The sequence below is a fragment of the Homo sapiens genome, chromosome 11 (assembly GCF_000001405.40).
Source record: "Homo sapiens chromosome 11, GRCh38.p14 Primary Assembly".
NCBI lineage: Eukaryota > Metazoa > Chordata > Mammalia > Primates > Hominidae > Homo > Homo sapiens.
Window position 1 is genome coordinate 46700682 of NC_000011.10, and position 14111 is coordinate 46714792.

General features: G+C 50.7%; 1 protein-coding gene across 2 annotated transcripts, besides 1 other annotated feature; it reads left to right on the forward strand.

The window, feature by feature from the left end:
* Nucleotides 144–433: an enhancer, noted in NCBI's record as "active region_4684". NCBI's record gives its function as "activates an Ori minimal core promoter by ATAC-STARR-seq in GM12878 lymphoblastoid cells {active_cell/tissue: GM12878}" and the evidence as "EXISTENCE:reporter gene assay evidence [ECO:0000049][PMID:35858748]".
* ZNF408 (zinc finger protein 408) lies at nt 350–5231 on the forward strand. 2 transcript variants are annotated; one of them, NM_001184751.2, is made up of 5 exons: nt 350–460; nt 718–995; nt 2023–2084; nt 2303–2562; nt 3672–5231. In NM_001184751.2, exons 1-5 carry the CDS (start codon nt 433–435, stop codon nt 5180–5182), a joined length of 2139 nt encoding a protein of 712 aa, NP_001171680.1. In that variant the 5' UTR covers nt 350–432; the 3' UTR covers nt 5183–5231. The 2 variants fall into 2 exon arrangements, with proteins under 2 accessions (NP_001171680.1, NP_079017.1); NM_024741.3 differs by having other exon boundaries at nt 350–418.

A 14111-nucleotide genomic window follows, 5' to 3' on the forward strand; every position in this document is an offset into this window, starting at 1 on the left:
TCCGGCCCCAAACATGGCCTTTCCAGGAGCCCCGCCCACTTCCTGCACATGCCCGCCTAAGTTCCTGCCTCGGGGAGGTAACAGCATAACTGTCCGACTCGTCGCTCCCAAAGAGATGGCTGGAACAATTAGTTCCGCTTTCCCAGCTAGTCGAATCACTGGTGCACCTCCGGAATCCGAGGTTCGCATTGCTCTCGGACAGAGTTCTGCCTCCCCAGTACTCCCAAACTCCCAGTCCTGTGCACCAATGAGGTCCAGCTCTGAGGCTTCTTTCCTGAGAAAAAAATTTGGAAGTCCGTGACTGTTTCCTGGAGGAGCTGAGAAGAGGAAGCTCACTTCCGGCGTAGGGAGGCTTTCTGACCCGGAATGGAGGAGGCGGAGGAGCTGCTCTTGGAGGGGAAGAAGGCGCTGCAACTCGGTGAGTGACCTGCGATGTCCGCGACCCTCAACCTTGGCCCAGGTGGATCTGACGCTCTGTGGTCAGCTTTCTCCTCAGTCTTCTCTCCTCCGGATCCCAGGATCCTCCAGTGCCCTCAGAGTCGCTGGGGGCTTCTGAAGAGCCCTTGAGCCTCCTCAAAACTTTCAGGGCCCTCCTTAGAGCCCTCACCTGTCCCTCGGGCTCCGCAGGCCCACCTGGACCTGCGGTTTCCTCCCACACTTTTCCCCACCTCCCACCTTCTTGGGTGGCTCCCTCACTGTCTTCCCTTCTCTCTGCAGCCCGCGAGCCGCGCCTGGGCCTGGACTTAGGATGGAACCCTTCCGGAGAAGGCTGTACGCAGGGCCTCAAAGACGTCCCACCCGAGCCGACCCGAGACATCCTCGCTTTAAAGAGCCTTCCCCGGGGCTTGGCCCTTGGCCCCTCACTCGCCAAGGAACAGCGCTTGGGGGTCTGGTGTGTCGGGGACCCCCTGCAGCCCGGCCTGCTGTGGGGGCCGCTGGAAGAGGAGTCTGCCTCCAAGGAGAAGGGCGAGGGAGTAAAGCCACGGCAGGAGGAGGTATTGAAGGATAGAGCGACTTCCCTCCGCCCTTGAAAATGTAGGGGAGGTTTGGACATTGCTAGACAGCTTTTCAATTTGAAGAAAGAGAGTATTTCAAGAGATAGGAGATAGTCTTGTCCCTTCTCTTCAGGACTGTCTCCTCTCAGCAGCAGTAGTTAAAGAATCGAGGTTTGAAAAGTTGTTGAAAGCTGGAATCATACAGTGTCAGCAGTGAGTGAGGAAGGTCAAGAGCTAAGGTTTTTGGAATTAAGAAAGCATGGGATCAAATTCCAGCTTTGTCACCTAGCTGGTTAAATTACGTGCCGCATTTAATTCATCTGTGAAACAAAGCAGTGGCTCTCTTGGGATTATATGGAGGAGCTGATGAAATAGTGAAGATAAAAGGTTTCACTGCACAATAAGTACCATTTTATTTTATTTATTTTTCTTTTTTCTTAGACAGTCTTGCTTTGTCGCCCAGGCTGGAGTGCAGTGGCACGATCTCGCCTTATTGCAACCTCCACTTCCCAGGTTCAAGTGATTCTCATGCCTCAGCCTCCCGAGTAGCTGGGATTACAGATGTGCACCACCACACCCAGCTAATTTTTGTATTTTTAGTAGAGACAGGGTTTCACCATGTTGGTGAGGCTGGTCTCAAACTCCTGGCCTCAAGTAATCCGCCTGCCTGGGCCTCCCAAAGTGCTGAGATTACAGGTGTGAGCCCCCGCGCCTGGCCCAATAAATACCATTTTAAAAAGCTGGTGTTCCTTATTACTTTTTCTGTTTAGTACTCACTGGAAGACAGTAATGTGTTCAATTTAGTAATTCTCCATACCCTTGGGAGGGAGGTGAGGAGACAGACTTTTTGGTCCTTACTGAATGAAGAATCAGACAGCACTGTCCTGTTAGAGGAGAACCAGAGGCTTCTAACCTTCCAGGAGTTTCATCTTAAATTTGTCCCAGGAAAGTTTCATCTAGTTTCTTTTTTTATTCCTACCCGACCCCTCGAACACATTTGAGAAGGACTTTTGTTGGTTTATTTCAGAACCTGTCATTAGGCCCATGGGGAGACGTGTGTGCCTGTGAGCAGAGTTCTGGCTGGACTAGGTAAGTCAGAGGAGAGTGTGTCGTTCCTTTGAGGTTTTCTGTTGTGGTTTGGGATGGAACCCGGTGCTGACTGTCATTTCCTATTCAGTGCTCTTTTGCAGTGAATGTTCCAAAGGCACGGCGTCCTTTAGGACCCAGACTGCTTGGGGACTGGGGCTTTCGGGGAAGACCACTTGAATAGTGAGCATCTCCTAGCTGGCTGTTACTTTGCTTTGCAGCTTGGTACAACGGGGCAGGCTGGAGAGTGAGGGAAATGTGGCCCCAGTGCGGATCAGCGAGAGGCTTCATCTGCAAGTGTACCAGCTGGTGCTGCCAGGCTCTGAACTGCTGCTGTGGCCCCAGCCTTCCTCTGAGGGCCCAAGTCTCACCCAGCCTGGGCTGGACAAAGAGGCAGCTGTAGCAGTGGTGACAGAAGTGGAGTCTGCTGTACAGCAGGAAGTGGCCTCCCCTGGGGAGGATGCAGCAGAACCTTGCATAGGTATGTGTCAAATAAATGCTGGTTTCCCAGCAATTTCCCCACCAAAACAACCTGTTGATAAGACAAAGCAGAGTTTATGGCTCATTGCGGTAAGGAAGGACACTATAGAGTCTTAGTAGCTTTTCAAAATCTGTTTTAAGGTGGATCTTTCAACATGGGATAGGAGGGTGGGGCTTGATTAGTATTGGGTAAGGATTATGACTGAATAGCTTAGGGTTGGTACATACAGCAAGGCTAGAATTTTCAGGCAAGGGACAGTCTCAGACTATGAATTGTCATTCATTGCTTTCTGTTGAAGAGCGACGGGTCTGTTCTTTGGAATAACAATATAGATATTTGCAACTTTTACCTTCCTAAGAGCTTCCTGGAATAGTAAGAAAGAGAGTAAGCTTTGTATGTACACGGTTTCCAGCCTCCCATGTTTCTTCTCTCTGGCGTGGGGGTTCTTTTATATTACAGATGAGCTAAGGTGGGAAGGGGTTTTTTTGTTTTGTTTTGTTTTGTTGTTGTTGTTGTTGTTGTTGTTGTTTTTTTTTTTTTTTGAGATGGAGTCTCACTCTGTCGCCCAGGCTGGAGTGCAATGGCGTGGTCTCAGCTCGCTGCAACCTCTGCCTCCCAGGTTCAGGTGATTCTCCTGCCTCAGCCTCAGCTAATTTTTTTGCATTTTTAGTAGAGATGGGGTTTCACCATGTCAGCCAGGCTGGTCTCGAACTCCTGGCCTCAAGTGATCTGCCTGTCTCTGCCTCCCAAGATGCTAGGCTTAACAGGTGTGAGCCACCGTGCCCGGCTGGAAGGGGTCTTGAATCACATCCTAAATATGTGTCTCCAGGGGCGAACAAGGGGATTCTCCATCTGGGATGGCCTTATTCTAGTGATTATCCAGATGGCTGGGACCCCATGGCTCTCAGGAGTGCTTCTCCAAAAGGCGCTTAAGGCTGGACAGGAAGATAAATGGAGTGTGCACCCCATGCTCCAGGGAAGAGATTGGTATCATTGCTCCCTCTAAGGCTCAGGGGCTGGGTGGGAGAAAACATCTGATCCTGTAATTCCCTGGTAACACCATCTGCATTGAAGCTCCCTAAACCCAGTACCCCATCCTTGCCTTGCAGATCCTGGTTCCCAGTCACCCTCTGGCATCCAGGCAGAGAATATGGTGAGCCCTGGACTTAAGTTCCCAACCCAGGACCGAATTTCCAAGGATAGCCAGCCACTTGGCCCATTGCTTCAGGATGGCGACGTGGATGAGGAATGCCCGGCCCAGGCACAGATGCCACCTGAACTTCAGAGCAATTCGGCTACCCAGCAGGACCCAGATGGCAGTGGAGCCAGTTTCTCATCTTCTGCCAGGGGCACCCAGCCGCATGGCTACCTGGCCAAGAAGTTACACAGCCCCAGTGATCAGTGCCCACCCAGAGCAAAGACCCCAGAGCCTGGAGCCCAGCAGTCTGGCTTCCCTACACTCTCGCGGAGCCCTCCTGGCCCAGCAGGAAGCTCCCCAAAGCAGGGGCGACGGTACCGGTGTGGAGAGTGTGGCAAGGCATTCCTACAGCTGTGCCACCTAAAGAAGCACGCATTTGTGCACACGGGCCACAAGCCCTTTCTTTGCACTGAGTGTGGCAAGAGCTATAGCTCAGAGGAGAGCTTCAAAGCCCATATGCTGGGCCACCGTGGGGTGCGGCCCTTCCCCTGTCCACAATGCGACAAGGCCTATGGCACCCAGCGAGACCTCAAAGAGCACCAGGTGGTACATTCAGGTGCCCGGCCCTTTGCTTGTGACCAGTGTGGCAAGGCCTTTGCCCGCCGGCCCTCCCTGCGGCTGCATCGCAAGACCCACCAGGTGCCAGCTGCCCCTGCCCCTTGCCCATGCCCTGTGTGTGGGCGGCCCCTGGCCAACCAGGGCTCCCTGCGGAACCATATGAGGCTCCATACAGGAGAAAAGCCTTTCCTGTGCCCGCACTGTGGCCGGGCGTTTCGTCAGCGGGGCAACCTGCGTGGGCATTTGCGGCTCCACACCGGGGAGCGTCCTTACCGCTGCCCACACTGTGCCGATGCCTTCCCCCAGCTGCCTGAACTGCGGCGCCATCTCATCTCACACACCGGGGAGGCCCACTTGTGCCCGGTGTGTGGCAAGGCCCTCCGAGACCCACACACGCTCCGAGCTCACGAGCGCCTGCACTCCGGAGAGAGGCCCTTTCCCTGTCCCCAGTGTGGCCGTGCTTACACGCTGGCCACCAAGCTGCGGCGCCACCTCAAATCTCACTTGGAGGACAAGCCCTACCGCTGCCCCACCTGTGGCATGGGCTACACCCTCCCGCAGAGCCTCAGGCGGCATCAGCTCAGTCACCGGCCTGAGGCACCCTGCAGCCCACCCTCTGTGCCTTCTGCTGCTTCTGAGCCCACTGTGGTGCTCCTGCAGGCTGAGCCACAACTGCTGGACACACACAGAGAGGAGGAAGTCTCCCCCGCCAGGGATGTTGTTGAGGTCACCATTTCAGAAAGCCAGGAGAAGTGCTTTGTGGTGCCAGAGGAGCCAGATGCCGCCCCCAGCCTGGTGCTAATCCATAAGGACATGGGCCTCGGCGCCTGGGCAGAGGTGGTGGAGGTGGAGATGGGCACCTGACAGCTTTGCCTTTTGCTGACACAGCTCCATAAAGACTCGTGCTTTCTCACTGCTGCGTGTCTGCATCTTCTTTCTTGGGGTTGCCTAGTAGGGATTAGAGTCTACTATGACAGACAGATCAAGGACTTCCCTTCCTGCTTAAGAACCACCAAATCGTGTTCCAAGCATACTAGGTCAAACCTCTTCTGAAGTAGAGATGTTTGAATTGACATCCGGTAGAGCTTGTTGTTCTGCCTCCTTCCCTAGGAACGCCACAGGGTGCTTATTGTTTAAGCGCTGCTGAAGGGACCCAGTGAGGCAGTGGTCGTTGGCAGCGCTACTGCTGACTGGTTGCTTAGCACCAGGATGGTCACACCCATGGAGCTCCTTGAGGGACAGGCGCTTCAATTTGGAAGCAAATCGAATGGCTTTTAAGACTGAACACCGGGCCGGGCGCAGTGGCTCACGCCTGTAATCCTAGCACTTTGGGAGGCCGAGACAGGCGGATCATGAGGTCAGGGGATCGAGACCATCCTGGCTAACATGGTGAAAGCCCGTCTCTACTAAAAATACAAAAAAAGTAGCCATGAGTGATGGCGAGCGCCTGTGGTCCCAACTACTCAGGAGGCTGAGGCAGGAGAATGGCATGACCCTGGGAGGCGGAGCTTGCAGTGAGCCGAGATCGCGCCACTGCACTCCAGCCTGTGCGACGGAGCAAGACTCTGTCTCAAAAAAAAAAAAAATAGACTGAACACCTTGGGAGGTGGCTAGGGCCAGATCTGTGCCCCTCTGTGTGCCTGGTCTAAAGGCCGCCCTGTTCAGGGAAGGACATGTGTTTTGCATTTACTGTGACCTGCACTGTGCTAGGCACTGGGACACAGCTATGAACGTAACAGAGGCAGTACCCTTTACTGATCCACGCATGCTGGGGGCAGGGAGGCAGAAATCATTGGATGAAAGTTTAAAGGGGCATAGCTGGGTACTGTGAACTTGTTTAATGGGGCAATTTAATGTGGTCTGGAGTGCCAGGGAAGATGTCCCCAAGAATAATAACATTCAGCCCTTACTGTGGGCTAGTGCTTTATATAATCCTCATAACAACCCTGTGAGGTAGGAGTAGTGTTTTTTTCCTACAGATCAGGAAATTGAAGAGCAAAGAGCTTTAAGTATCCTGCCCAAGTTCACAGTGCTACAAGTGGGTTGAGATCCCAGCCCACAAAACCTCGCGCTGGAGTCAGGCTCTTCACTGCTGCACTCTCCTGCCCCGTGTTTCAGCTGTGGCTCGATGGATGTGGAGGTGGGAGGGGAGGTGGTGAAAGACTGGTAGGTCTGAGCTACTGGGACCAACATGGATGGGCGGGGGAAAGGTGGAGAGGGAGGAGGGCCAGATCACATAGGACCATGGCTCAGGAGTTTGGACTTTATTTTCAGGACGTCGAGGAGCACTTTGAAGGGTTTTGAACAGGGGAATAACAGGATCAAAATTGTGTTTGAAAAGACAACTAGGAAATGGATTGGAAAGCAAAATGAAGTTGTGGCAAAGTCAATTAGGAGTCTGCGGGGTGCCTGGGAATGGGGTGGTAGCTGTGGAAATGCAGAGAAATGGAGTCATCCACCCAGCTTATATTTACTGAGTGCTTCCTGAATGCAAGTTGTTAGGGATGTAGCAGTATCTGTGTTCACATTAGCTCACCTAGCATGGAAAATGACAAATGCATGTCAGATGGTGGTAAAAGTGTTAAGCGTATTAAGAGTAATGCAGGGTGGCCGGGCACGGTGGCTCATGCCTGTAATCCCAGCACTCTGGAAGGCCAAAGTGGGAGGATCACTTGAGCCCAGGAGTTCGAGACCATCCTGGGCAACATAGCTGGGAGTGGTGACATGCACTTGTGGTCCCAGCTACTCAGGAAGCTCATGGAGGATGATTGCCTGAGCCCAGGAGGTCGAGGCTACAGTGAGCTGTGATCAAGCCACCGCACTGGAGCTGGGGTGACAAAGAATGGGAATGGGATTTACAGAAGGTGGTCATCAAAGGCCTCTAAGAGAAAGGCTTAAGCAGAGGCCTGAATAATGGAGAGGAGGATGTCGGGGAGGAGCTGGATTCTGAGCAGGGCACAGTGAGGACAAGCCAAGTGTAGACAGCAGGAGCAGGGAGACCAAGACAGCGTGGAAGGAGATGAGGTCAGAGAGGTGCCATGCATGCAGGCTGGGGTTAGGGCTGTGGGTGGGTGGCTATGTGCTCCAGGAGGCACAAGTGACACAATTCAAAGACAGTGGAAAAGAGGGAGGTCTAACTCAAGTTTTCTTTTTTTTTTTGTTTTATTAATTTTATTTTGAGATGGAGTTTTCCTCTGTCTCCCAGGCTGGAGTGAAGTGGTGTGATCTCGGCTCACTGCAATCTCCGTCCCCCAGGTTCAAGCGATTCTCCTGCCTCAGCTTCCTGAGTAGCTGGGATTATAGGTGCCTGCCACCAGGCCCCTCAGCTAATTTTTGTATTTTTCGTTGAGACAGGGTTTCACCATGCTGGCCAGGCTGGTCTCAAACTCCTAACCTCAGGCGATCCACCCACCTCGGCCTCCCACAGTACTAGGATTACAGGTGTGAACCACAGCACCTAGCCTCAAGGTTTCTAAAGTAAGTAAGTAGGTAACGGTGGGACCCAGGACAATTATGATTTGGGTTTGGGATGAGTTCAAACTCAGAACTCATCCCAAAGGGGGTCAACAAAGGGGGTCTTGGGATGTAAATGAAACCTCACATGTAGCAGCCCTCAGAGAGAATGGATGATAAATGTTTCTGTCAGACTTTTAAAGGTGTCAGTCTTGGCCGGGCGTGGTGGCTCACACCTGTAATTCCAGCACTTTGGGAGGCCAAGGCAGGAGGATTGCTTGAACTCAGGAGTGGCAGACCAGCCTGGCCAACATAGTGAAACCCTGACTCTATTAAAAATACAAAAATTAGCTGGGTGTGTTGGTACGTGCCTGTAATCCCAGCTACTCGGGAGTCTGAGGCACAAGAATCACTTGAACCCGGGGAGGTGGAGGCTGTAGTGAGCCAAGATAGCACCATTGCACTCCAGCCTGGGCAACAGAGTGAGACTTTTTCTCAAAAAAAAAAAAAAGGCTGGGCATGGTGGCTCACGCCTGTAATCCCAGCACTTTGGGAGGCCAAGGTGGGCAGATCACGAATTCAGGAGATCAAGACCATCCTGGCTAACTCGGTGAAACCCTGTCTCTACTAAAAATACAAAAAATTAGCCGGGCGTGGTGGTGGGTGCCTGTAGTCCCAGCTACTTGGGAGGCTGAGGCAGGAGAATGGCGTGAACCCCGGAGGTGGAGCTTGCAGTGAGCCAAAATTGCACCACTGCACTCCAGCCTCGGTGACAGTGAGGAGAAAAAAAAAATTTCCATCTTAAAGGTGTCAGACTCAGACTCTCAGTTAATCTTTTCTAGATCTGGACAAGGGAGGGCTCAGAGAAAGCCTGGCTGCATCCATGCAGTGTTTTTTTGTTTGTTTGTTTTTGGTTTTTTTTTTTTTGAGATGGAGTCTCTCTCTGTCACCCAGGCTGGAATGCAGTGGTGCGATCTCAGCTCACTGCAAGCTCTGCCTCCCAGGTTCGCGCCATTCTCCTGCCTCAGCCTCTCGAGCAGCTGGGACTACAGGCACCCGCCGCCACGCCCAGCTAATTTTTTGCATTTTTAGTAGAGACGGTGTCACCATGTTGGCCAGGATGTTCTTCAACTCCTGATCTCAAGTGATCCGCCCTCCTCAGCCTCCTAAAGTGCTGGGATTACCATGCCTGGCTCTCTTCAGTTTTCTCTGCAGATGACAATCTCCCCCACACAAGACAGTTTTTCAGCTATTCTTGTATTTCCAGCCCTTCTGAATAGCCATCTTGAAATATATCAAAGAAGTATATTTTGGGGTGAAATATTTTAGTTTCCCTCAATACAGAGAGCAGGGAGGAAGACCAAGGCCAGGATGGTCAAGCGCTTCAGGTTCAGTGACAGGAGGTAGGCTTATCAAGGGACACAAAAAATCACCCAACGAAAGAGAAAAACCTACAAAGTGCATGCCATTGAAGCTGATGGAAAAGTTTCAACAAGGGGGATGTGGTTAGCAATGTCCATTGCTATTGGGAGAGTTGAAGTTTATGGAAGTTACTGGCAAGCTGAGGGAGAGCCGGAGGAAGCCAGATGGGATTGCCTTGAGGGGCGGGAGGCAAGAGAGATGGAAAAGATAGACTTGCTTGTTTTATGCCTCTACTGTCCTGCAAAATAGGAATTGTGGTCCCTGTCTTACAGATAAAGAAACTAAGGCAGAAGGTCATGGTGGCTCATGCCTATAATCCCAGCACTTTGGGAGGCTGAGGCAGGCGGATCACCTGAGGTCGGGAGTTCAAGACCAGCCTGACCAACATAGAGAAACCCTGTCTCTACTCAAAATACAAAAATTAGCCGGGCGTGGTGGCGCATGCCTGAAATCCCAGCTACTTGGAAGGCTGAGGCAGGAGAATCGCTTGAACCCGGGGGGCAGAGGTTGCGGCGAGGCAAGATCACGCCACTGCACTCCAGCCTGCGCCAAAAGAGCAAAATTCTGTCTCAAAAAAAAAAAAAAAGAAACTGAGGCTCAGAGAGGATGACAAGATCACACCATCAGTAAGAGGCAAAGCCAGGATTCTTCTTTTTTTTTTGAGACAGAATCTCACTCTGTCACCCAGCCTGAACTGCAGTGTTGCGGTCTCTGCTAACTCTACTCCGCTAACTTTACCTCCTCTTCCCGGGTTCAAGCGATTCTCCTGCTTCAGCCTCCCAAGTAGCTGGGATTAAAGGTGTGTGCCAACATGCCCGGCTAATTTTTGTAGTTTTAGTAGAGATGGAGTTTTGCCATATTGGCCAGGCTGGTCTCAAACCCCTGACCTCAAGTGATCCACCTGCCTCAGCCTCCCAAAGTGCTGGGATTACAGGCGTGAGCCACCGTGCCCGGCCAAAAGCCAGGATTCTAATGTGGGTGGTTTTCTGGCTTCCCAGCACTTGACCACGATGTCACCGGCAGCCCCGTGCCTCCTGGTTTGCCACTGACATTAACCCAGTTGCCTGCCCAATCTGAAAAACTTGGCAAAGCATAAACCTAAAATTGTCCAAGGGGCGGGAGGACAGCAGGAAATCGTGGTGATCTGTGAAGAGAAAGGCCACACTGTCCAAAGCCTGAGAAACAGCTGCTAAGATTAGTTTTGAGTCAGCCTACCCTGTGACTTGGAACCTGCTCAATTTCTTTTCCAGCTCCTGACTCAGGCAGGCCCACTTCAACTCAGGGGACTGCTCAGCAGTGTCTGCCTAGCGTTTTAGGCATCCTGGGGACACGCTCCTTGCTTGACATTGAACTGTGCAGGACGTGGGGATGCTCTGGGCTGTCCGGGAGGCCTGTTGACACCCCACAGCATCCCCAGGCCAACAGCTGAGATGCCCACACTCCCTTTCCACATTCCCCACACAGATTGGAGAATTTTTCCTCCATTAAAGCCGTCCCTGGTACATGGTACATGGAGCAGGGTCGGAGCAGGGTCAGGACAGAGCCAACGGATTGGAAGGCAGGTGATTTGGGAGTCTCTGCTCTGGCAACACGCATGGCTCAAGTGAGAATGGGTGTTACACAGCATCTCCCAAGATCCTCATGTTACAGTTACCCATGAGAAAACAGAGGCCACAACACAAGTCACTTGCCAGGGTCAGAAGACCAGTCAGTAGCAGAACCAGGACAGAATTCCGGCCTTCTGATTCCTAATTTAGTGCTCTTCCAGCTCAAATAAAAGGCAGACCATTCTTGGAAAGACTAATCACTGGAATATTTTTTTTCACTGAGAAAATATTTTCAGAATTTCAAGGCTACAGTGAGCTGTGATTTTACCACTGCATTCTAGCCTGGGCAGCACAACAAGACCCTGTCTGAAAAATATATATATATATATATATATATTTTATTTTTTTTTTCCTCTGATTTCAATATAATTTTCATTTTATTTATTTTTTGAGATGGATTTTTTGTTTGAGATGGAGTCTTGCTCTATCGCCCAGGCTAAAGTGCAGTGGCACTGCCTCAGTTCACTGCGACCTCTGCCTCCTGGGTTCAAGCAATTCTCCTGCCTCAGCCTCCTGAGTAGCTGAGATTACAGGTACCTGCCACCACGCCCGGCTAATTTTTGTATTTTTAGTAGAGACGAGGTTTTACCATGTTGACCAGCCTGGTCTCGAACTCCTGACCTCAGGTGATCCACCCACCTTGGCCTCCCAAAGTGCTGGGATTACAGGGGTGAGCCACCATGCCCAGACTGTTTTTTGTGTTCTTAGTAGACACAGGGTTTCACCATGGTTGGCCAGGCTGGTTTTGAACTTCTGTCCTCAAGTGATCCACTCACCTCAGCCTCCCAAAGTGTTAGGATTACAGGCATGAGCCACCATGCCTAGTCTATTTATTTATTTATTATTATTTTTGAGACCGCCTCACTCTGTCACCCAGGATGGAGTGCAGTGGCGTGATCTTGGCTCACTGCAACCTCTGCCTCCCGGGTTCAAGGGATTCTTGTGCCTCAGCCTCCCAAGTAGGTGTGACTACAGGCATGCACCACCATGCCCAGCTAATTTTTTGTATTTTAGTAGAGACGGGGTTTCACCATGTTGCCCAGGATGGTCTTGAACTCCTGAGCTCAGGTGATCTGCCCACCTTGGCCTCCCAAATTGCTGGGATTATAGGCGTGAGCCACTGCGCCTGACCACATATAATTTTTATTAATTATAATGTTGAAAGTCCCTTTATTCCACACCTCTCCTCTCATTCACTCCTGATAGGTCATTTTTAATGATTTGATGTATATACTGAATTTGGATGCTTCTTGCTACAGGGCAAAGACGCTAATAAGATTTTGCTGGAGCCTTTTCACAGATGCAAGTCAATCCAGGCAGTGTCTATAGCTGCTGAACCCAAAATCAGAAAGCGAGGGCTATCAAAGCTCTTCTGTCCTGATTTGCAACTTTAGTAGTGCAAGAAAAAAAATCTTAGAATAAAAAATGGGTACCGTTCAGAGACCTTTAGAGATTGCAAGGCATCACAGATGATAAAAAGCTCCATCTCTAGACGTGTTCAGGAGTGGGTTGGGGCTTTGACCTTGACTAGCTGCATCAACTTGGACAAGTCACTTCGCTTCCCTGTGCCTCAGTTTCCTCATCCATAAAATGGGGATAAGTATAGTACCTACCTCATAAGTCCTGCCTACCTGGCACATGGTGAGCAATTACTAAATTGTAGGCCTAGTCCCTATAATCCCAGCACTTTTGGAGAACAAGGTAGGGGAATCGCTTGAAGCCAGGAGTTCCAGACCAGCCTGGCCAACATAGTGAGACTGTGTTTCTATAAAATAAAAAAAAAAAATACCCAAGCTTGGTGGTGCAGGCCTGTAGTCCCGGCTACTTGGGAGTCTGAGTCAGGAGGATTGCTTGAGCCCAGGAGTTCAAGGTTGTAGTAAGCTATGATTGCACCACTGCACTCCAGCCTGGCGACAGAGCATGACCCTGTCTCTAAAAATATAAAATTAGGCCAGGCACAGTGGTTCATGCCTGTAATTCCAACATTTTGGGAGGCCAAGGCAGGTGGATCACTGTGAGCTCAGCAGTTCGAGACCAGCCTGGGCAACAAGGCAAAATCCTGTCTCTACTAAAATTACAAAAATTAGCCAGGAGAGGTGGTACACGCCTGTAATCCCAGTTACTGGGGAAGCTGAAGCAGGAGAATTGCTTGAACCCGGGAGGCGAAGGTTGCAGTGAGCCAAGATCGTGCCATTGCACTGCAGCCTAGGAGACAGAGCGAGACTCGATCTCAATAAATAAATAAATTAATTAATTAATAAAAAAATAAGTTGGGCATGGTGGCACCTGCCTGTAGTCCAAGCTACTCAGGAGGCTGAGGTGGGAGGATCACTTGAGCCAGGAGTTCTAGGCTGCAGTGAGCTATTATCACGCCACCATACTCCAGCCTGCTGTATGTACTCCAGCCTGGGCAACAGAGTGACACCCTGTCTCAAAGTAAAGTAAAATAAAAATTAAAAAACAAATTACTAAATTGTACTTAACAGTATTGTCATCAGTCTTCCTAAATAGGAGGACAGGCAAAATTAAGGGACTTAACATGTGCCCTCAGGTATAGTAGTTTGGGGCAGGCCAGCATCACCCGCACAGTAGTTCTGTACTGTAGGTGCGTGTTCTCTGGGTCAACTTTATGGCCCAGTGAGGCCGTACTCTACCAGAATGTCAGGGGACAAGGGTTGGGAGAGGCAAAAGTGCTGGTCTGAAGCAGGAGTCTGGGTTTCCATCCTAGCTCTACCACCAATTCTGTATGACCGTGCCCCCTCCATTTCCTCCATGACCACATAGAGACATGGGGCAGTTGGATGAAATCAATGATTCCCAGTCTTGGCTCTATCATGGAACCATTTGCTAACTTCTTTTTTTCTCTTATGGATCCCATATTTTTAAAGATTTTTACTAAATAGAAATTGACTTATACTTTTCCAAGCTGGAGTGTGGTGGCATGATTTCAGCTCACTGCAACCTCCGCCTCCCGGGTTCAAGTGATTCTCCTGCCTCAGCCTCCTGAGTAGCTGGGATTATAGGTGCTCACCAGGCCCGGCTAATTTTTTTGTATTTTTAGTAGAGACAGAATTTCACCATGTTGGCCAGGCTGATTTCAAACTCCTGACCTCAAGTGATCTGCTCACCTCAGCCTCCCAAAGTGCTGGGATTACAGGCGTGAGTCACTATGCCCAGCCGCTTACTCACATTTTCTAGTCAAAATAGAAAACTGCTTAAGTCACTGTCTGCAGAAGAGCAAAAAAAAAAAAAGAAATAAAAAATTGAAAACTGCTGATCAGATTGAGAAAAACATAAGATTATTCACCACC